Below are 19078 nucleotides of genomic sequence, written 5' to 3' on the forward strand. Positions count from 1 at the left end.
AATCCCCAGTCTTAAGTAGTTCTTTACAGCAGTGTGAGAATGAACTAAAACAAGCTGCTATGAGTATGTATGGTTCCGGACTCTGAGAGACCTGGGTTCAAGTTCAGACTTAACCTGTTACTAGTGGTATGACCTTGGGCTAATTAACCTCTCAATTTCCTCACTTACATAATGAAGGTAATAATATTATCAGCACTTTATTTTTTAAAGTTTGTATTTACTTATTTTTAGAGACAGGGTCTTGCTCTGTTGCCCAGGCTGGAGTGCAATGGTGCAATCATGGCTCACTACAGCCTCGAACTCCTGGCTCAAGTGATCCTCCCACCACAGCCTCCTGAGTAGCTGGGATTACAGGTTTGTGCCACGACCCTGGGTTTTATTAGCACTCTGGGTTGTTGTGAGGATTAAATGAGATAATACAAATAAAGATTTAGCACAGTTCCTAAAAACACTGTGAAAGTTAGCAATTCCTATTAAGTATCGTTCCTTCATGAGCCCTCACAATGCCTAGGAAACACACACAGATGATAGAGGTCACCACGCTGACTCTACAAATGGAAGAGCTGGATTTCAGGTAGACCCAAAGATCCAGGCCGGGCGCAGTGGCTCACCTGTCATCTCAGCATTTTGGGAGGCCGAGGTGGGTGGATCACCTGAGGTCAGGAGTTCGAGACCAGCCTGGCCAACATGGTGAAACCCCGTCTCTACTAAAAATACAAAAATTAGCTGGGCGTGGTGGCATATGCCTGTAATCCCAGCTACTTGGAAGGCTGAGGCTGGAGAATCACTTGAACTGGGGAGGTGGAGGTTGCAGTGAGCCGAGATCATGCCACTGCACTGCAGCCTGGGCGACAGAGTGAGATTCTGTCTCAAAAAAAAAAAAAAAAAAAAAAAGATCCAGTGATGTTTAAGGTTTTTCATTTGTGGGTGTGAGTGTCTTGAATTCCTTTTAACTTTCCACGATTCTATTTTGCTCAAGACAGTAGGAAAGTACTTAATTTTTATTTAAACATATTGAAACTAACATATCCCTTGTAGGAAAATATTACATATTAGGAACAGTTACGATGTGCAATATCAGCACAATAGTTTAACACTCTTCAGGAAGGGCATGCTATCTGCTCCATGTTACAACAGATACCTGTTTTTGCACATCCTATTAATGAATACACACCTATTGAGTGTGCTTGTTTGCTCTGCTGACGGGGCACCAAGCCACAGTTCTAGGCGACAGCTGTGCCTGGAGCACGGGTGGTATGAGCTCCTGGCACTGTCTTTCTGCTTGGGGGTCCAGGTGAAGGGCTGGCAAAGTTTGTCTCATAGGGAGGAAAGAGGCAAATTAAAATTTTGTCCCAGGCCGGGAGTGGTGGCTCACGCCTGCAATCCCAGGACTTAGGGAGGCTGAGGCAAGAGGATTGCTTGAGCCCAGGAGGTGGAGACCAGCCTGGGCAACATGGTGAAACCCCATCTATACAAAAAAATTTAAAAATTAGCTAGGCATGGTGGTGCATGCCTGTGGTCCCAGCTACTCAGGAGGCTGAGGTAGGAGGATTGCTTGGACCTGAGAGGTTGAGGCTGCAATGAGATACGATGGTGCCACTGCTCTCCCTCCTGGGCAACAGAGCGAGATCTTCTCTTAAATTTGTTGTTGTTGTTCTAGAGCATGTTTCTAATTCATAAACTGAGTGAGGTCTGTTTTCATGAGAATCTGGGCTTCTAAGAAATTTGCTGGACTAGCCGGGCATGGTGGCTCATGCTTGTAATCCTAGCACTTTGGGAGGCTGAGGCAGGTGGATCACCTGAGGTCAGGAGTTCGAGACCAGTCTGGCTAACATGGTGAAATCCCGTCTCTACTAAAAATACAGAAATTAGCTGGGCGTGGTGGCATGTGCCTATAATCCCAGCTACCCGAGAGGCTGAGGCGGGATAACTGCTTGAACCCAGGAGGTGGAGGCTGCAGTGAGCCGAGACCGTGCCACTGCACTCCAGCCTGGGCAACAGAGCAAGATGCTGTCTCCAAAAAAAAAAAAAAAAAAAAAAAAGCTGGACTAAAAACACAATACAGCTTTAATAATTTTAGTATAAATCATAAACCCAACACCTAGTCATTTATTGTTCCTTACTAAGAAATGCTGGAGCTGGGCACAGTGGTTCACACCTGCAATCCCAGCACTTTGGGAGGCCGAGGCAGGAGGATCACTTGAAACTGGGAGTTTAAGATCAGACTGGGCAACATAGTAAGACCCTGTCCCTACAAAAAACAAAAATCAAAAAATTAGGCAGGTGTGGCAGCATGCACCTATAATTTCAGCTACTCAGGAGACTGAGACAGGAGGATTGCTTGAGCCCAGGAGTTTGAGGCTGCAGTGAGCTATGATTGTGCCACTGCACTCCAGCCTGGGTGACAAAGCAAGAACCTCAAAAAAAAAAAAAAAAAAGTTGGGGCATAAATGCTCCTGTGATTTAGTGTTCATATATCAGGCTAATGTGTATGTTACTTAAGATATTGACAAATCGGTGGGGCTTCCCCAAGCCCAGGAATTGATCTGTGTGTTCCACATCTGTCCAGCACCTTTAAGGAGCCACCAGCCCCTTCCGCAGGCACTTGCGGCGTGAGACCCAGAAGGCAGTTCCAGCATGTTTTGCATTAGCAGACCAGCTTGTGAATATTTCCTTCCATCCTGGGTCTTGCTCTTAACCCCCTTCTGCTCCCTTGAAATGACCTTTGTTGCTGATGATGATGTTTTACCGTCAACTCTCCCTATTGACTTGATATTTCCTCCCCATCTGCAAGTTTCCACAGCTCAGGCTGTCTCTGGGGTTCCACCTCTGGCTTACTCTGCCTCCTTTTGTTCTGACTTCATGTCCTTCTTCTCTTTTATTTATTCTTCTTATTATTTTTTGAGACAGAGTCTTGCTCTGTTGCCCAGGCTGAAGTGCAGTGGTACAATCTCAGCTCAGTGTAACCTCCACCTCCCGGGTTCAAGCGATTCTCCTGCCTCACCCTCCCTAGTAGCTGGGATTACAGGCATATGCGGCCACACTCAGCTAATTTTTGTATTTTAGTAGAGATGGGGTTTCACCATGCTGGCCAGGCTGGTCTCGAACTCCTGACCTCAAGTGATCTGCCTGCCTCAGCCTCCCAACATGCTGGGATTATAGGTGTGAGCCACCACACCCATCCTCTTTCTTTTAAAAGGATAAGTTATTATTGTTATTTTTGAAACAGGGTCTCTCTGTCACCCAGGCTGGAGTGCAATGACATGATCACAGCTCACTACAGCCTTGACTTCCCAGGCTCAATCCATCCTCCTGCCTCAGCCTCCTGAGTAGCTGGGACCACAGGCACACACCACCACACCCAGCTAATTTTAAAAAAAAAAGAGCAACTTATTCCAAGATTCTGTACTGAGTAGCGAGATTTAGTGAACCAAGTCATCTTTCAGTTTCATCTTTTTCATTTGTAAAGTGAGAGTTAGAGGATCACAGTGCTTTCCTCCACCCTCAAATGCATGTTATTAAAATTCTACAGTGCCCTGAAGGCCGTTTGATCTCCTTGGGTAAGGCATTATAAAACGGGAATTATTATTAAAATGCTATTTTGAAATAAAGATAAGCCTTTTTTATGTATTTATATATTTTTATTTCTTTCATACTTTTCATTCTCATTCCTTTGTAAATACAGGTTTGAATTGTGTCTGCTTTTTCTCATGTTTATAACCAATAAAGTTTGCTTTAAGAAGATGGAAAATGGCGTATACACAGTTACATTCTTGAGGCCATCTTTCCTTTTTCAACCAATAAAACCACTACCTATTTGCAACATTGTTTGTAATTGAATTTACAATAAACCTCAGACTTAGAGCTAAAGAATGAAGGCAGAGAAAAACAAGTCCAAACATTGTAATTAACAAAAGCAGTAGCAACATTATTGTATAGCTTAAAACAAATGCATTAATTTTTTTGAGTCTCCCAAATAAAGATGAAACAAAACAAAACAAAGTTCAACCAAAAAACCCTGAAAACAAAGAACCTTAGAGACAATCCTGCTTAAAAATAAGTTTAAAAATAACTTTGTGTTTTTCTTCCTACTTGAGATGAATATTATACAGCAATGAAATTGCCCTTTGTTTTTGAAATTTTTCTACAATAAGCTGAAATGTTAAGATGAGTAGACTGTGTGTTGGTTAGAAAGATCACCAAGGACTTGATGTGGTGGCTCATGTCTGTAGTTCCAGCACTTTGGGAGGCCAAGGTGGACGGATGGCTTGAGCCCAGGAGTTCAAGACCAGCCTGGGCAAAATAGTGAGACTCTGTCTCTACAAAAAATAAAAAATTAGCCAGGCATGATGGTGTGTGCCTGTCGTCCCAGCTACTCGGGAGGCTGAGGTGGGAGGATCACTGGAGCCCAGGAATTCAGGGCTGTAATGAGCCATCATGGTGCCACTGCACTCCAGCCTGAATAACAAGGCGAGAACCTGTCTCTGAAAAACAAAAACAAACCCAAAATAAATAAACAAAAGAAACAACAAGAAGGAATATTTATGCTTCTTTTTATTTATTTTTATTATTATTTTAATAGAGATGGGATCTCACCTCGTTGGCCAGGCTGGTTTTTAATCCTGGGCCTCAAGTGATCTTCCTGTCTTGGCCTCACGAAGTGCTGAGATTACAGGTGTCAGCCACTGTGTCTGGCCAAATAATTATGTTTCTTATTGGCCTAAATGTTTAATACTTAAATGGTGCAAAAATATTGCAAATTTGGGTGTTCTCCCTACCTCCTAGTTGGAAAACACTGGCAAAGTGACTCACTCAAGGCCATGCTGTGAGGAGGACTCAGACCTGGGATTTCTTGCTGGGATTAAATCACTGGGACACATTCACCCCAAAGGATACCGAAAACTTGTGAGAACAATAATATTAAATTTTCAAGGTTTTATATCCGAATGGAAACCGTACAATGACACTTTGTCTCATATAGGGTCTTCTCTGCTTTTCAGGAGGCAAAACCATGCTAAACCCCAATCGCACTATTTCTTCTTCTTCATTTTTTTTTTTTTAGACGGAGTTTTGCTCTTGTTCTTAGGCTGGAGTGCAATGGTGTGATCTCAGCTCACTGCAACCTCCGCCTCCGGGATTCAAGAGATTCTCCTGCTTCAGCCTCCTGAGTAGCTGGGATTACAGGCATGTGCCACAACGCCCGGCTAATTTTTTATATCTTTAGTAGAGACGGGGTTTCTCCATGTTGGTCAGGCTAGTCTTGAACTCCCGACCTCAGAAGATCTGCTTGCCTCAGCCCCCAAAGTGCTGGGATTACAGGCGTGAGCTACCGCGCCCTGCCCCAATCGCACTATTTCTGCCAAGACACACCCTATCCTACCTATGGAACTGGGAAGGAATTCTTGGTATAGTTATTTCTGGGATGCAGTTTGGGGGATCAGAAGAAATTTCTCCTCTTCTCTCCAGGTTTGACTCCTTAAGGGAAGATTCCACATGTTATGTGTCATTCTGGAACATTCTGGAATCTATGATAAACAATTTTTTTTTTTTAACGGAGTCTCATTCTGTTGCTTAGGCTGGAGTGCAGTGGCATGATCTCGGCTCACTGCAACCTCTGCCTCCCGGGTTCAGGCGATTCTCCTGCTTCAGCCTCCCGAGTTGCTAGGACTACAGGTGCACACCACCACACCTGGCTAATTTTTGTATTTTCAGTAGAGATGGGGTTTCATCATGTTGGCCAGGCTGGTCTCCAACTTCTGACCTCAAGTGATCCACCCATCTCGGCCTCCCAAAGTGCTGGGATTACAGGTGTGAGCCACTGTGCCCGTCTGAGAAACAAATTTTTATTCTCCTTTTTCATGACCCACTTACTCTAGGGATAAGGAGAGACCACTGTTAACTAACTTTCCCCCACTTTTTTTTTGGCTTTGTAGGGGATGAAAGATGGGGGAAAAACACAATCTCATCCTTTCACTTACTTCTCATTGCCTATTTCCTTACAAACCACCCTTGAGACCAAAAGAAGCAGAAATCAATTGATTCTGATTCTTTTTTGTGGCTTATATTAATGAACCATTCTGAAATGCGTTTTTTTAAAGTGAGTAATTTTTCCCTTGGAAACATATAGAATTACCTGCAGGGAAAAAAATGATGTATTGAATTTACTCTTTCAATAGTCTTGATGTTTAATTCCTCACTAAGAACAGGAGATCCCTGGTGCAATTTCAGTGACTAGCATCAGCATATAGTTTGTAAAGTCGCAAAATGTCAAACTTCATGTAAATTGTATTTCTAAATCCTCAACAGCACTCAGACACTATAATTATATCCTGACAGTGTCTTACTCACAAAACAGACTCAAACAACGTCTTTCAAAACCATGCTTTGACAACTCATTCACTTTATCCATAACAGTATCTTAAAAGAATTTCCTTTCAGAAAACAGTCAATGAGTGCAAGTCAGGGGGAATTTTCTCCTTGATTGAATTCATGGAAGAGCAGAGTTCTATTTCCAAAATAATCAGCCAGCCCAGAGACATTCAGCTTCTCACTGAGCAGTGAATATTTGATATTTCAGAACTAAAGTAAGCAGCTTAATGGAACTTGTCAGGCACTGATAAAATGCTAGAATAAGAAAATTAAGACTTCAGGTTACTTCAGAATAACTAGCGTATCAAAGGTCAACGTTTAACTTTTCCAAATTTTGCTTAAATGAAATGTATGAGAGAGAGCAAGAGGGAGAGAGGGAGGGAAAAATAATTCTGGATTGGTTATTTCAACACATTAAAAAGTGCCCTGGACAAGGTATTGGAAGGAAGTTACTTTTTTTCTTTTTTTTTTGTGGAGACAAGGTCTGGCTCTGTTGCCCAGGCTGGAGTGCAGTGGTGCAATCACAGCTCACTGCAGCCTCAAACCCCTGGGCTCAAGCAATTCTCCCACCTCAGCTTCCTGAGTAGCTGGGACTATACAGACGTACACCCCACCACATTGGCTAATTGTTTTATTTTATTTGTAGAGAAAGGGTCTTATTATGTTGCCCAGGCTGGTCTTGGACTTCTGGCCTCAAGTGATCCTCCTGCCTCAGTCTCCCAAAGTGTTGGAATTACAGGTGTGAGGCACCATGCCTGGCCAGTTTTAGCAATTTTCGAGAAGTCTTTATGTGTACCTGAGTAATCTTGATTTTCTTTTCTTTCTGTCACCCAGGCTGGAGTGCAGTGGCGTGATCCTGGCTCACTGCAACCTCTGCCTCCTGGGCTGAAGCAATTCTCCTGCCTCAGCCTCCAGAGTAGCTGGGATTACAGGTGCCTGCCACCATGCTTAGCTAATTTTATTTTTTTTTTTTGAGATGGAGTCTCGCTTTGTCACCCAGGCTGGAATGCAATGGCGTGATCTCAGCTCACTACAACTTCTGCCTCCAGGGTTCAAGCGATTCTCTTGCCTCAGCCTCCTGGGTAGCTGGTATTACAGGCACCCACCACCACACCCAGCTAATTTTTGTATTTTTTAGAGACAGGGTTTCATCATGTTTGCCAGGCTGGTCTCGAACTCCTGACCTCAAGTGATCCACCCACCTTGGCCTCCCAAAGTGCTGAGATAATAGGTGTGAGCCACCATGCATGGCCATCATCTTGATTTTCTGTATTCTATGGTTGCATGAGAGAGAGAAGAGAGAGAAATCAAAACAAACAAAAAGAATGAGGGAGAAGAAAGAAAACATAAAGGAATATTAGAAGAGTAGGAGGAAATTAAATTTCTTTCTGGGACGTGGAACAGGGAAACAAATGGAACAGGTTACCATTCAGTGGAGTCAGCCGCAGGGTCATGGGTGGTCTCCAAGCAGAAGCTAAATCCGATGCCAGGAGCCTTGAGAACTGAGACCCTGGAGTAGGGAAACAGCAGGGTCACCAGCAAAGGCTCACTCCCGGAGTTTGCAGTGATTTGAGGCAAAGCCATGCCCTGGGCCCGCCTAGACTGTTGGCTCCTCTTTTTTTTTTTTTTTTTTTTTTTTGAGATGAAGGCTCGCTCTGTCGCCCAGGCTGGAGTGCAGTGGTGTAATCTCGGTTCACTGCAAGCTCTGCCTCCCGGGTTGACACCATTCTCCTGCCTCAGCCTCCCGAGTAGCTGGGACTACAGGTGCCCACCACCACGCCCGGCTAATTTTTTGTGATTTTAGTAGAGACGGGGTTTCACCGTGTTAGCCAGGATGGTCTCGATCTCCCGACCTCGTGATCTGGGCTCCTCATCATTTTTAATAGCTCCCCACACCGTCCTTGGCCTTGCTGGCCAAACTGTAGGGTGGGCTGCCTTGAGGTAAGGCCCACAGATTGAGGCTACTGCACAAACTGTTTTGTACTGGTTCTTGATGAGGTAAGCACAAAATGGTTGTTACGTTGGTGCAAAAATTATTGTGAGGTTTGCCATTAAAAGTCATTGCAAAAACTGCAATTACTTTTGCACCTACCTAATAATTTTTTTTTCTTTTTTTGAGACAGGCTGTCACCCAGGCTAGAGTGCAGTGGTGCCATCTTAGCTCACTGCAGCTTACACCTCCTGGGCTCAATTGATCCTGCCTCCCTAGTAGCTGGGACTACAGGTGTGTACCACCACACCCAGCTAATTTTTGTATTTTTAGTAGAGACAGGGTTTCACCATGTTGGCCAGGCTGGTCTCGAACTCCTGACTTCAGGTGATCCACCCACCTCAGCCTCCCAAAGTGCTGGAATTACAGGCGTGAGCCACCGTGCCCGGCTGGAAATCACATTTCAACGTGAGATTTGGAGGGAACAAACATCCAAACCAGGTCTTGTTGTTCCTAGTTCTTATCAAATAGTTCCTGGATGGTCAGGATTTATCACATCTTCAGCTGGTTTGGAGCCCACCGACCTGAGACCTCCATGGTACCACAGAAGAGGGAGGAAATCAGGCCTTTGCGGGGTTGGTCCAAAGGGACATTGGCAGCACACATGTCCCTTGAGTGAGATGACTGGTGGAGAGCTGAGGCCCATGTGGCCTGATCTGACCTGGCATTGCCAAGGGGACAAGGACCTTGAACATAGGCAGGCGGCAGGCAGTGCCTTGGAGCTGAGTGGTCACCCATTCTGACCGAGACTCCATCAGGGCTATATGTGCCAAATTCATTCAGCCCATGGTGAGAGAAGGTTAACAAGTACTACGAAAGGCTTCTGGCTTGGGGTTTGGGTTCAGATTTCCAGTCCTGCAGAGAGAATTGGCAACTAACTTGAATTTGAGGGACACAGCCACTTGGACACGGTTGGCTGATTTAAGGTGTACTTGACTGTAAATGTCCTCTAGGTCACAAGTGCAAAGTGAATTCCAGATTCTAACTGCTGCTGAATGGGGCTACTAAGGGGGACCTTGTTCTGGTCAGGCTGGGTCAGAGACAGCGAGAGGCCAGCAGCCACAGTCCTGGCTGATCCAGGCAGAGCAAGGACTGATAGAATGGAACACAAATGTGCTGTGGATGCAGGTTAGTGTCACACAACATCATGTGTTCCAGAAGAGGGGTTATTTACATTACATTCTGTATTATTACATTATTACATTTAATCTTATTCTTTTTTATTGAATTAGTTTAATGAATTTATCAGCAACTTCTTTTTCTTAGATAAAGGGTCTTGCTCTGTTGCCCAGGCTGAAGTGCAGTGGGACTATCATAGCTCACTGCAGCCTCAAACTCCTGGGCTCAAGTGATCCTCCTACCTCAGCCTCCAATGTAGCTGGGACTACAACAGATGTGTACCACCATACCTGGCTAATTAAAATGTTTATTTTTTAGAAACAAGGTATTGCTATGTTGCCCAGGCTGGTTTTAAACTCCTGGCCTCAAGTGATCCTCCTGCCTTAGCCTCCCAAAGTGTTCAGACTGAAGGTGTGAACCACTGTGCCAGCTATTATCAGTAACTTCTAACTTCTAACATACCAGTCTAGTACGGGTCTATGGTAATTCTTCTCCACGTCATGTTCCACCTTCTTTTTTTATTTTTTTTATTTTTTTTTGAGATGGAGCCTCACTCTGACACCCAGGATGGGGTGCAGTGGTACAATCTCGGCTCACTGCAACCTCCGCCTCCCAGGTTCAAGCGATACTCATGCCTCAGCCTCCCGAGTAGCTGGGATTACAGGTATATGTCACCATGCCCGGCTATTTTTTTTTTGTATTTTTAGTAGAGATGGGGTTTTACCATGTTGGCCAGGCCGGTCTTGAACTCCTGACCTCAAGCTATCCACCCGCCTTGGCCTCCCAGAGTGCTGGGATTACGGACATGAGCCACCGTGCTCGGCCCATGTTCCACCTTCTTGTCCAAGCTTCAAGTCAGCAGTTTCGATGACTGTAGTTTTAGACGTGGGTGATTTTATAGTTCTGACTTGGGTCTTGCTCTTGGATGCTGCATGTCTCTTTCAGAGAAGCCTCATTTATGTGTCCAGCTTTGGAATTCTAGGAACCTGAAGACTCCGGAGATGCTGAGTTTCCCTTTGCTTCTTCTGACTGATGTTCTTCAATCTCTTAACAGAAACTAAACCTGTTCCTGAAAAACTAGAGTTTGCTAAAGGCAGTATCTTTCTTTTTTTTTTTTGAGACGAAGTCTTGCTGTCGCCAGGCTGGAGTGCAGTGGCATGATCTTGGCTCACTACAACCTCTGCCTCCCGGGTTCAAGTGATTCTCCTGCCTCAGCCTCCCGAGTAGCTGGGATTACAGGTTAGTGCCACAACGCCCAGCTAATTTTTGTATTTTTAGTAGAGACGGGGTTTCACCATGTTGGCCAGGATGGTCTCGATCTCTTGACCTTGTGATCCACCCACCGCAGCCTCCCAAAATGCTGGGATTACAAGCGTGAGCCACCGTAACTGGCCACTAAAAGCAGTATCTTATTCAATACTTCAATTTCGGGAATTTTATTAATCGTTGTTTTCTCTCCTCTGAAAATCAGGGGGCTCTGTAGACTGTGCCCTAAGAGGCTGAGCTGGAGATGGCTTTCCTGTAATTGCTAATTTTCCTCATACAGGAAAAGCACCCTGCTTTGGACCGAAGATTCTGTTTGTTGCAGTGTATCCATTCTTCTTGCTTTTTGAGTTGCTCCTGAAGTTTCCTTTTCTCTAGGAGCAGGATATCAGTTTGCGCAGTGATCTGGTTCTGGAATGTCTTCTTCTTTTCTGGTTGTTGTTGCCTTTAAACATATTTTTTTGTCGTTTGTTTTTTCTTAAGACAGGGTCTCACTCTGTTGTCTAGGCTGGAGTGCAGTGGTGTGATCATAGCTCATTGCAGCCTCAAACTCCTGAGCTTAAGCGATCTTCCTGCCTCCACCTCCTGAGCAGCTGGAACTACATGAATGCACCACCATGCCAGGCTAATGTTTTTATTTTGAATTTTTGTAGACACAAGGTCTTGCTGTGTTGCCCAAGCTGGTCCTGAACTCCAGGCTTCAAGTGATCTTCTTGCCGTGGCCTTCTAACGTGCTGGGATTACAAGTGTGAGCCACTGTGCCTGGCCTAAACAGATTTTTGACAAAGCTTCACCCCAAAGAAAGAAGTCAGGATGTGTCTTCCTGGGGGTAAGAGGGCGCTGCAGTGTCATCTTGAAAGTGGCATTTCTGGGTCAGGCACGGTGGCTGACTCCTGTAATCCCAGCACACTGGGAGGCCAAGGTGGGTGGATGCCCAAGGTCAGGAGTTCGAGACCAGACTGGCTAACATGGTGAAACCCTGTCTCTACTAAAAATACAAAAATTAGCTGGGCATGGTGGTGCACGCCTCTAGTCCCAGCTACTGTGGAGGCTGAGGCAGGAGAATTGCTTGAACCCAGGAGGTGGAGGTTGCAGTGAGCCGAGATCGGATCATTGCACTGCAGCCTGGGCAACAAGAGTGAGACTCCGTCTCAGGAAGAAAAAAAAAATGCAGCATTTCTACAGTAGTCAGTCAGGGCCACTAGGCAACAAGAAGGCTTGCCTCACTTGCTTGGAGTGAGTTTCATAGGAACTCCATATTCCCTTCGAGTGGGACCCCTCTGGATCCTCCCACCTAGAGATCCTTCCCTCAGGCAGAAAGACAAAACAAAAACCTGCCAGCCACAAAGGCTGGCACCTGTAATCCCAGCACTTTTGGAAGCTGAGGTGGGAGGATCACTTGAGCCCAGGAGATTGAGACCCGCCTGGGCAATATAGGAAGATGCTGTTACTACAAAAAATAAAAAAAATTAGCTGGGTGTGGTGGTGCATGCCTGTAATCCCAGCTACTTGTGGGGGCTGAAGGGGGAGGATTGCTTGAGCCTGGGAGGATGAGGCTGCAGTGAGCCTTGATTACAGCACTGTGCTCCAGCCTGGGTGAAAGAGCAAGACACTGTCTCAAAAAAAAAAACAAAAAACCAAAAACAACAGAACAAAATGTAACAAAACAAAAACCTGAAAACCAAACCAAAATATAAAAACCCCTACAACCTCCAAAAAGAAGCCATTAAAATACTGTCCAATCTCTCTGCTTTTAGTCCCAAAGTCAGAAAAGAAATGCATTCCGGCATGGGATGGGTTGTCACTGGTGGCCTAAGGCCTCAGGGCAATTTTAAGATATAACTCTTCTAGCAGAAAAGCTGCTGAGAAAAGAGAGGAGAAGAATTGGCAAAAGGGGAAAATAAATCAGACAGCTGACCGTGAGCGTGAAGGGAATGTAGCTATTTTCCTCCTTGTTCCAAGCCTAGGATTGAAAAAACAGTCGTCTCGGGAATAAATAATTTATCACTGGAATTGATGAAGTGGAGGTGGTTTGGGGAGGAGGGAGAGTGCAAAGCCAGATGCCTCCACGCAGATAATAAAATGTTAATAATAAAATGTTCTCCCTTGCTGTTGTCTAAGTGGTGAATGAAAAAGAATCCAGGGATAAGAAAAACCCCTGAAGGGGTTAGGGGAAATTAGTGCTGATACTTCCCATTAAAGTCGCAGTAATAACGATAACAACCGAACATTTATAGAATGTACTTCATGCCTGGGATTCCACTGGGCTTTGAAACAGGAGGATCTGATTCACACCCACTCCCAAGAAAATGAATTAGGTTCCAGCGCTCAGGGGTGGGTGAGGGACTTCCCAAAAGAGCTTAAATTCATTAGATGAGAGAGTTAAGTGTGGTCAGAGGTGATCTAGTCCAGCGTCCTTTTCGGAGGAGTCCAGAGAAGTTGAAGGATTGGCTCCGGATCACATCACTCCTTAATGGAGTTGCTGTGGATAGTACTCAAGTCTATTTCCTTTGGGTCCCAGCTGTCACTTTGCAGCTGTGTGCCTTTGGGAAAGTCACCAAACCTCTCTCAGCCTCAGTTTCCTAATAAAATGTGGACAGTCGTAGCATCTGCGTCAAAGGATTGCTGTAATGATTAAATAGGTTAATGCATGCTTAGAACAGTGCCTGACACATGGTAAGTATTAAATACATGTTATTTATCATTAGCTATTATTTCTTTTAAGAGTAACACCATAAAAAAAAAGGGGGGCTGATTGCCTCTTCTCATTTGCCGTAGTTTTACAACAACCAACTGGGAAGGAAGTGGCAGATAACAGCGGCGGTCTGCACCCCTTTTGGCCCCATATCCCTGGCCAACCAGGCTGCTAGACGACCGTGGGCCTGCAGCAGCCCTGGCTGTGTGGCCCACTCAGGTTGTGGGGCAGTTGGAGACTCTGAGGGAGCATCAGGACTGACTCCTGGTGGCGGGGTGGGGTCTGGGAGGGAGATGAAGCACAGATACTTGGGTTTGCTTCAGGACTGTCTGACCTGATGAGAGGCAAATCACTGGACGGTGCTAGAAAGCACACCCAGGAGCTGTGTTCTTTTTCTTTTTGAGATGGAGGCTTGCTCTGTTGCCCAGACTGGAGTGCAGTGGCACGATCTGGGCTCACTGCAACCTCTGCCTCCTGGGTTCAAGTGATTCTTCTGCCTCAGCCTCCCGAGTAGCTGGGATTACAGGCGCCCACCACCACGGCCGGCTCATTTTTGTATTATTTTTAGTACAGACGGTGTTTCACCATGTTGTCCAGGCTGGTCTCAAACTCCAGACCTCAGGTGATCCGCCTGCCTCGGCCTCCCAAAGCGCTGGGATTACAGGTGTGAGCCACTGTGCCCGGCTGAAGCTGTGTGTTTTCTAATTCCAGAAGCTCTGCTGCTCTCTCGCTGCCATTTCTCCCGACCCATCAGCTAACGTGTGAACTTTTAAAACTATGCCTTTCGATAAGACATTGAATCCCTATTGATAAAAATGGCGTGGCAAGAGTTACATTTTGATCTGTTCTCAGTTATTATACTTTAGTGCATGCAAATAGGTTCTGTTCTTTTTTTTCTGTCGCTTCTTTTAAGAGACGGAATCTTGCTCTGTGTTGCCCAGGCTGGAGTGCAGCGGCACAATCATAGCTCACTGCAGCCTTGAACTCCTGAGCTCAAGTGATCCTTCTGCCTCAGGAGCATCCTGAGTAGCTGGAACTACAGGCATGCACAACCATGACCAGTCAATTCCTCAATTTCTTTTCTTTTCTTTTTCTTTTTCTTTCTTTCTTTTTTTTTTTTTTTTTTTGTAGAGATGAGTGGAGTTCTTGCTATGCTGCCCATGTTGGTCTTGAATTCCTGGCCTCATGTGAGCCTCCCACCTTGGCCTCCCAGAGCACTGGGATTACAGGTGTAAGCCATTGCTCCTGGCCCTATTTTTTCTTGAAAGTGAAGAGTAGAGGATAAAGAAAGGAACTGGGTGGGATAAATATTGGAGATTCAAGCAAGGGGAGAAAAAGGCAGATGTGTTGGAAAATGATAACTTCTTCACCCTTCAGCCTAATATAGGAGCTTCTGGAAACCAAAATACTATACAATCAAGTGACAATGTAACCAGGTTGCAACCAACCTGTAACCAGCTTGGTTTTTTTCTTTTTTGAGATGGAGTCTTGCTCTGTTACCCAGGCTGGAATGCAGTGGCACGACCTCGGCTCACTGCAACCTCCGCCTCCCGGGTTCAAGCTATTCTCACACCTCAGCCTCCTGAGTAGCTGAGATTACAGGCGCCTGCCACCACGCCGGGCTAACTTTTGTATTTTTAGTAGAGATGGGGTTTCACCATGTTGGCCAGGCTGGTCTCAAACTCCTGACCTCAAGTGATCTACCCACCTCAGCCTCCCAAACTGCTGGGATTACAGGCATGAGCCACTGCACCTGGCCTAAATAATTTTATTAGTATTAATTAATTAGTTAGTTTAATTTTTAATTTTTTTTCCCGAAATCTCTTATCTGTCACCCAGGCTGGAGTGCAATGGTGCAATCTCAGCTCACTGCAACCTCCACCTCCCAGGTTCAAGTGATTCTCCTGCCTCAGCCTCCTGAGTAGCTGAGATTATAGATGCACACCACCATGCCCGGCTAACTTTTTGTATTTTTAGTAGAGATGGGGTTTCACCATGTTGGCCAAGCTGGTCTCGAACTCCTGACCTTGTGATCTGCCTACCTCAGCCTCCCAAAGTGCTGGGATTACAGGCATGAGCTGTCACACCTGGCCAATTTTTTAATTTTTAAATTAAATTTAATTAATTAATTTTTTTGAGACAGGGTCTCACTTTGTCATCCAGGCTGGGGTACAGAGGTATGATCACAGCTCACTGCAGCCTCAACCTACCGGGCTCAAGTGATCCTCTGGCCTCAGCGCCCCCAAGTAGCTGGGACTACAGGCATGAGCCACCATGCTAAGCTAATTTTTGTATTTTTTTATAGAGATAGAGTCTCTCTATATTGCCCAGGCTGGTCTTGAACTCCTGGGCTCAAGCAATCCTCTTGCCTTGGCCTCCCAAAGTGCTGGGATTAAGGTCATGAGCCATCGTGCCCAGCCTTAAATAATTTATCTTTCTCCCTCCTCCCTCAGCCTAAGGTAATTATCAAATGAAATAATTCATCAGAAAGAGTTCTGTGACATGTAAAGCCCTGTAATAATGTGTTGGTAATACTATGGTGATAATGGATATTTTTCACAATGGGTATGCATGTGACATGCTGAGTTATGGAGGTATGGACTCAAGGGACAAGGAGTGAAATTGCCACATGTCTCAGGTTGGGGTGGGGGCTTGGGGTGGTAGCTGTGATCAGGGTGCTTGGGGTGGTGGTTGTGGTCAGGGCGAAGGTTGAGGGGAGGGATCTAGACAGCCTGGCCATATTGTTTTTGGAAAGAGCGCTATACAATGTTAATTTCTTCACTGATGAGTCAATGGATGAATGAAAGGATGTCTTCTTTAAACTGCTGCACGTTGGTGGGTAAGTGAATCTGTCCAAGGTAGATGGGAGACTGAAGAGTCAGGGAGGTCAATCTGGTGGGCAGGGGGGCCCATAAGTCAGGCAAGCCTAAGTCTGCTCCTTGAGCAGGTTGCTCAGCCTCTGTGTGGCTCATATCAGCTATCTCAGAGGGTTAAATAAAAAGACATACACAAAGAGGTCGGGCACGGTGGCTCATGCCTGTAATCCCAGCACTTTGGGAGGCCGAGGTGGGCGGATCACCTGAGGTCAGGAGTTCGAGACCAGCCTGGCCAACATGGTGAAACCCCATCTCTACTAAAAATATAAAAAATTAGCCGGGCGAGGTGGCACACGCCTGTAGTCCCAGCTACTCAGGAGGCTGAGGCAGGAGAATTGCTTGAACCCAGGAGGCGGAGGTTGCAGTGAGCCGAGATGGAGCCACTGCACTCCAGCCTGGGCGATGAGAGCAAAACTCTGTCAAAAAAAAAAAAAAAAAAGAAGAAGAAGACATACGCAAAGTGCCTGGCACAATTCTTTGCACAGAGTAGCTACTCAACAAGTGGCTATTACTGTTACCACTGAGGCAGAGTTTACACATCATCTCATCTCAAGCTGCCACAAGCAGACACGATTATCTTCTTGTGAAGAAATCTCAACTTCCCATTTATTTTCCTTTTTTCCCTCCTTTATTGAAACTTGGACTTTTAAGAATTTTGGTGCATGGATAATTTGAGGTCCATTTGACACAAGGAGAAAGTTCTGACAGTCGCTTTGAGTCTTGTTCTGTATGAAGCCACAGTGGTAGCAATGTGCTCCCCTGATAAAAAGCAAGAAACATGGTGCATTCCATTAAAGGAAAGAGGCATTAACTTTCCTCCCAGCCTGGTTACTCGGGACATTAATCAGCCCATAAAAATGGGATTAAGTCAAGTCTCAATTTAGCTCTGCAGTTTACCTTTAAAATGTAGCCGCGCTTTGTGTTTTAATATCGGGTGATCACATTTTAGATGTAATGAAAGAGCAAGGATATTTTCCCACAAATTTTCATGGGGATTCGTGACTGCAGATGGGACCCTCCCTGAAGACATAATGAACAATTATGCAATCTGGGGAATGGCTTTGGAGAAGCAGTTCCAGCTGGGGGTATATAAAGTGAGTTTGCTAAAAGCTGTGTAAATGAGGGGCTCCAAACCTGCCGTCATGTATTTCACCCTTTATGACCTAATGAATATGTTATATTATCATGAGCCTATCAGCTTGAAACTTTGCTTTTGCTCTGAGTCCCCCGAGGCAAACAGATGGATTTTTAAATCCTTCCTCTTAAAGTCTTACTGGATGGCAAAGCCTTTGCTTAAATGTGGAGCCTGAAATTATCCCGAGTTCTAAAGCATCCTTATTGGCTTTGAAGGAGCTGCTTTGACTCTATCCTAAAGGTTTGCTTTTTTTTTTCCCTTTTAAATTTTTCCTTCTCTAGGATATGATGCTAGAAGGGACCTCAGGGATGATTCCAGGCCAGAATGTTGACGGCTCCCAACCAAAGAGAAAAATTCAGATTATAGTGAGTTTTCTTAAGAAACTACATTTATTCATTTAAATGACTGATCTTTACTTTGAAGTTTTGTTTTTCTCCCTTGTTGGTATAAAATATCTTATTTTATTATCATTAATTAATTAATTAATTAATTTTTTTGAGACGGAGTCTTGTCTTATGACCCAGGCTGAAGTGCAGTGGCACCATCTCGGCTCACTGCAACCTCCGCCTCCTGGGTTCAAGCAGTTCTCCTGCCTCAACCTTCCGGGTAGCTGGGATTACAGGTGCCTACCACCATGCCTGGCTAATTTTTGTGTTTTTAGTAGAGATGGGGTTCACCAAGTTGGCCAAGCTGGTCTCGAACTCCTAACCTCAAGTGATCTGCCTGCCTCGGCCTTCCAAAGTGCTTATAGGTGTGAGCCACTGCCCCCAACCCATGTTTTTTTTATTGGACAATATGTCTAAAAGTATTTTTTAAAAGAAAGATAAAGCTAAAACGTTTTTGAAAAGAGCTTTGTTTTAAGCATTTTTGGTACAAAATCCAAGAGCCTGGGAAGCAGTGGTTTAGTGTAATCTCTTCATTTTACAGATGAAGAAGCTGAGGGCGAGGCCACTGTGCTTCCCCAAGGTTGCTGTATGAGTTGGGGTGGAAATGGGCCAGCTCCAGCCTTCTGCCTCCCAGCCTGGCTTCTTGTCCTCCACCAGCTGTCACTCGGAAAGTGAACAGAGAAGCCCTTGCCACTATAGTGGACAAGGGAAACTGTGGATACAGATTCCAGCAGTGAGAAAGGTCATTAGAGTTCTCCAAGGGCACAGCTTTGCAGCATGTCATGTCAAAAGCAGGGTGAGCCTCACATGCAGGCGAGGCTGCAGCTCTGAATTATACTCAAAGGTTCTGGAAATGTGCAGGCTTGCAAATGTTTCCTCTACTAGCCTGCAGTACCCATGATTACAACATTGCCACTCCTCTCCTTTGATTGGGCCTTTCTCTCTCTAATTTTCTTTTTTTTTCTCTCTTCCAAGGACATGTTTTCCCAGGACATGCACTCATAAATCTGTATCAGTCACTAACAATCTCGGGATGAACAAGTTCACTATTGTCGACTTTGGAAACTAGCTAGGAGCTGGAATTCTGATGGGGAAATAAACATCATTTTAGATCCAGGAAGTTCAGAATGAAAATGAAAAAGCAGATCTAGATGGAATGCTTCTAGAAGGCAAAGGAAGGTGCAGTGGACAGAGGTGGTGTCCAGGCCCTGGCACTGGTAAGAGATGCCTAGAGGCCAGGAGTTC

General features: G+C 45.2%; 1 long non-coding RNA gene across 2 annotated transcripts, besides 1 other annotated feature; it reads left to right on the forward strand.

Annotated features, from left to right (window-relative positions):
- Positions 8466-8967: an enhancer, noted in NCBI's record as "H3K27ac hESC enhancer chr10:28989321-28989822 (GRCh37/hg19 assembly coordinates)". NCBI's record gives its function as "activates a minimal SCP1, AML or CMV promoter by ChIP-STARR-seq in naive H9 embryonic stem cells {active_cell/tissue: H9 hESC(naive)}" and the evidence as "EXISTENCE:reporter gene assay evidence [ECO:0000049][PMID:30033119]".
- LOC105376470 (uncharacterized) lies at positions 16103-19040 on the forward strand. Of its 2 annotated transcripts, XR_001747282.1 has the most exons (4): positions 16103-16275; positions 17729-17812; positions 18375-18629; positions 18809-19040. It is a non-coding gene; the product is annotated as an uncharacterized LOC105376470 (long non-coding RNA). The 2 variants fall into 2 exon arrangements; XR_001747281.1 differs by lacking the exon at positions 18375-18629.
- Positions 19041-19078: the final 38 nt, after the last annotated feature.

Source organism: Homo sapiens, chromosome 10 (genome assembly GCF_000001405.40).
Source record: "Homo sapiens chromosome 10, GRCh38.p14 Primary Assembly".
NCBI lineage: Eukaryota > Metazoa > Chordata > Mammalia > Primates > Hominidae > Homo > Homo sapiens.